Here is a 4,135-nt window from a genome sequence, read left to right on the forward strand (position 1 = left end):
CAATGGCGCGATCTTGGCTCACCACAACCCCTGCCTCCTGGGTTAAAGTGATTCTCCTGCCTCAGCCTCCTGAGCAGTTGGGATTACAGGCATGTGCCACCATGCCAGGCTAATTTTGTATTTTTAGTAGAGACGGGATTTCTCCATGTTGGTCAGGCTGATCTCAAACTCCCAACCTCAGGTGATCCACCTGCCCCGGCCTCCCAAAGCGCTGGGATTACAGGAGTGAGCCACCGCGCCAGGCCTCTTTTGCATTTTTGTAAATGGCAGCCATTACTGAGCCATGTTATCACCTACTGGAAAGGGATATTCCTTGGCCCTGGACAGTGATAGCAGTGGCAAATCATTATGGGTTTGCAACAAGCTCAATTCTTGCCTCCTCAGAAGAAAGAATTCAACCAAAGGGCATAAGGCAGAGTGACAGACAGAGGCAAGTTTTAGAGCAGGAGTGAAAGTTTATTAAAAAGCTTTACAGCAGGAACGAAATGAAGTAAAGTACACTTGGAAGAGGGCCAAGCGGGAGACTTGAGAGAGTCAAGTGCACTGCTTGACCTTTGACTTGGGGTTTTATACAATGGCATGCTTCCGGGCTCTGCATCTCTTCTTCTTGATTCTTCCTTGGGATGGGCTGTCTGGGTGCACAGTGGCCTGCCAGCACTTGGGAGGGGCCACATGTGCAGTGTATTTAACTGGAGTTGTGTGCATGCTCACTTGAGGCATTCTCCCCTTACCAGTGTTCCTGGAGGAAGGTCATATACTGGTTAAACTCCGTCATTTTGCCCCTTAGTGTACATACTTGAGCCCACTCACCCAACTCTAGAGATCTCACTGGGAAGCTGCTGATTGCTAGTTTCAGGTGTTTCTCTCTACTAGGAGACTGCCTTTCCCTGGCACCAGCTGTGACCAATTCCTAGGTTGGTGCAAAAGTAATTGCGGTCTTTGTCATTAAAACCAATAACAAAAACCACAATTACTTTTTACTGACCTAAAGATTAATTTAGGGAGACAGTGTAACAAATGCTTTACCATCACCTGATGGTTGCCTGACATTCCTGGTGGTTGGGAGGGTTCCTCTCCTGCCCTGCTCATGGCTGGCTAGCTACCTACTGTAACAAGAGCACAGGCTGTCAAGCAGGTTTTTGGCTTCCCAGACAGGGCCCATGGATTTTGTGAATGCAGCCACTATTTATTGATGTAATCGCTCCACCCTATAGGGCTGGAGTTGTGCTTGGCCACAGAGTGCCAGATGGCCATTAGGTACCAGCTGCTTCCACCCAAGAACACTGTCACTCACAGAATGCAGCTGCACAGATACCAAGATGGAAGCCCCAACAGTTATCATGGATGTTAAGAAATCCTACCGCCACTTCAAATCACAAGACTAGCTAACATATACTGAATGCTTATCACACATCGGGTGCTGTGCTAAGCACTTCATGTGGATTATTAGTTCCTTAAATCCTTCCGACAAGCTATCATTTGACTTTCTAGGGACTCTTCTAAGAATAAAACTATCCTTGAACTACAGCACTGTTTTAGGAATTGTGGGAGTCTTCCCTTCCAACCCAACTCCTGTGTTCTCTTGGGGAATCCTTGAAGAGCTCAATGACTACTGCCCACTAAGTGCCCTCACACTACATGCTCCTTGTCAGCTTTACAGGACATGCGGATCCTGGGAGCCTTACCTCATTCTCTGTTGAAGAGAAGATACAATATAGTTTTTTGTTTATTGCCTGTGTGATGCTAGATCAGCTTGTGCCTTAAACTTGGTATTGAAGGGGTGACCTAGACAGAAACTGCCCAAAGAGTGAAATTTATTTACTAATAAGTATGAATTGTCTGCATGCAAAGGATGCATTTTATTGGAAAAATTTATCATGTCAACATATTTTTACCATATTATCTTGGCTATATTATAACAGTATAATGGAAAGTTATTGACAGGAAGGAACCTATGTTTTCAGTAAACCATCATGGACCATAGAATAAGTCTGCCACTGAAAAGGCTGTATTTATGATTATTGTAGGCAACTTGAGAAAAACCCCTGAGGGAACTTATGGCCAGGTGCAGTGGCTCACACCTGTAATCCCAGCACTTTGGGAGGATGAGGTGGTTGATTCCTTGAGCTCAGGACAAGGCAAAACTCCATCTCTACAAAAAATAGAAAAATTAGCCGGGCGAGGTGGTGTGTACTTGTAGTCCCAGCTACTCAAGAGGCTGAAGTGGGGGGATCACCTGAGCCCAGGGAGGTCAAAGCTGCAGTGAGTCATGTTTGCGCTACTGCATTCCAGCCTGGATGACAGAGCAAGACCCTTTCTCAAAAAAAGAAGTGATCTAGATTTTTTTTTAAAACATGCTGATAGTACAGAAACGTTCCTGGGGAATAATTTGACTGCAAGAGACGTTTTCAAAAAGAACTAAGATAGTTTTGATCCTATCTCAAACCTCCCCTTTAATGATTGAGGCTTTACATCAGTTATTTACAAGAAACCTGGAATGTCAGACAATACAATTTGTAATAATGGTGCAATTACAAAATTTGTGTCTGAAGGTTTTATGAGTCGTTATCAGCACAGCCTATTACTCAGTGGTCTAAGAGAATGGCCACAAAGTTGCTGCAAGTATCTCATCCCTCAGCACACAAGAACTGCCTGTGTAGAAGTACTAATCTGTCGGCATCTCTGGACTTGCTTCAGTCATTTCTGATCAGATTTAGCTTACTGTCTCTAAGACAAACAAGAGTATATTTGGGTTATTTATTTGTATCTATTCAGCTCTTTATCAGAGTGTTTTTTTTTTTTTTTTTTTTTTTTGAGACAGAGTCTCATTTTGATACCCAGGCTGGAGTGCAGTGGTGCAATCTCGGCTCACTGCACCCTCTGCCTCCTGGGTTTGAGAGATTCTCCTGCCTCAGCCTCCCGAGTAGCTGGGATTACAGGCACCCACCACCATGCCCAGCTAATTTTTGTATTTTTAGTAGAGATGGGTTTTCACCATGTTGGCTAGGCTGGTCTAGAACTCCTGACCTCAAGTAATTTGCCCATCTCAGCCTCCCAAAGTGCTGGGATTACAGGCGTAAGCTGCCGCACCTGGCCCTATTTGGCTGCTCCTGTTAGCCCTTTTGCACGGGGCTGGATTCCCTCAATTCACTTTTCCACGCAGACAGCTGGAGTAGGGACAATCAAATTATTTACTTTATAAATTATGCCATTATTACTTCTAAGAGTACTGGTGTCCATTACATCCTTTTCAAAGACTTTCACTGATCAGCTGAGATATCTGGCTTTTTAAGATCCATATTTTTTCTTTATCTTTGCCTCACTGTTTATCGATAGATATACCTGAAAATATAAAAGATTAACATGGTCCAGGGAAGCCAGTGTTTATGGAGTAACTATTTAAAGATAACTGGAGCGGACACTTGTTACTCTAGAAATTTCCCTGTATCTTCTGTTCCCATCCATATGGCTACTTTAGGAGTTGCCATCTTGGTTCAATGCCAGTCTGCCACTGGGCACAGTTGATTGGACCAAATTTAGCTTGCAAGTCAAGCTAGGCCAATCAAAGTTATTTCATGGAGAACTGGATTTGGAAAACAGAGGGTACTGTTTTTCTTTCTGGAAGCTTGATTGACAGGTGTCAAATATGCAAGCTGTTGGCAGCTTTGTGGTTTAGGGAGTACAGGGGTTGGTCCATAGCCAGAAGAAAAAGAGAAGCCAACACAACAAAGAGGGTAGAGGCTGGAGACAGAGGGTATTTTTGTTTCCTGGGGCTGCTGTAACAAATTACCACAAACTGGGTGGCTTATAATGACAGAAAATTAGGCCGGGTGCAGTGGCTCATGCCTGTAATGCCAGCACTTTGGGAGGCCGAGGCGGGCGGATCACGAGGTCAGGAGTTCAAGACTAGCCTGATCGATATGGTGAAACCCCATCTCTACTAAAAATACAAAAATTAGGCGGGTGTGGTGATGGGCACCTGTAATCTCAGCTACTCGGGAGGCTGAGGCAGGAGAATTGCTTGAACCTGGGAGGCAGAGGTTGCAGTGAGCCAAGATTGTGCCACTGCACTCCAGCCTGGGCGACAGAGCAAGACTCCGTCTCAAAAAAAAAAAAAAAAAAAAAGAAAAAAGAA

The 4,135-nt window shown here is 44.5% G+C and overlaps 1 non-coding gene across 1 annotated transcript; it reads left to right on the forward strand.

Annotated features, from left to right (window-relative positions):
* The first annotated feature begins 902 nt into the window (after nt 1-902).
* On the forward strand, nt 903-998 carry MIR548AP (microRNA 548ap). The gene has a single exon (NR_049805.1). It is a non-coding gene; the product is annotated as a microRNA 548ap (primary transcript).
* The last annotated feature ends 3,137 nt before the right edge of the window (nt 999-4,135 follow it).

This window comes from Homo sapiens, chromosome 15 (assembly GCF_000001405.40).
Source record: "Homo sapiens chromosome 15, GRCh38.p14 Primary Assembly".
In the NCBI taxonomy this organism is placed as follows: domain Eukaryota; kingdom Metazoa; phylum Chordata; class Mammalia; order Primates; family Hominidae; genus Homo; species Homo sapiens.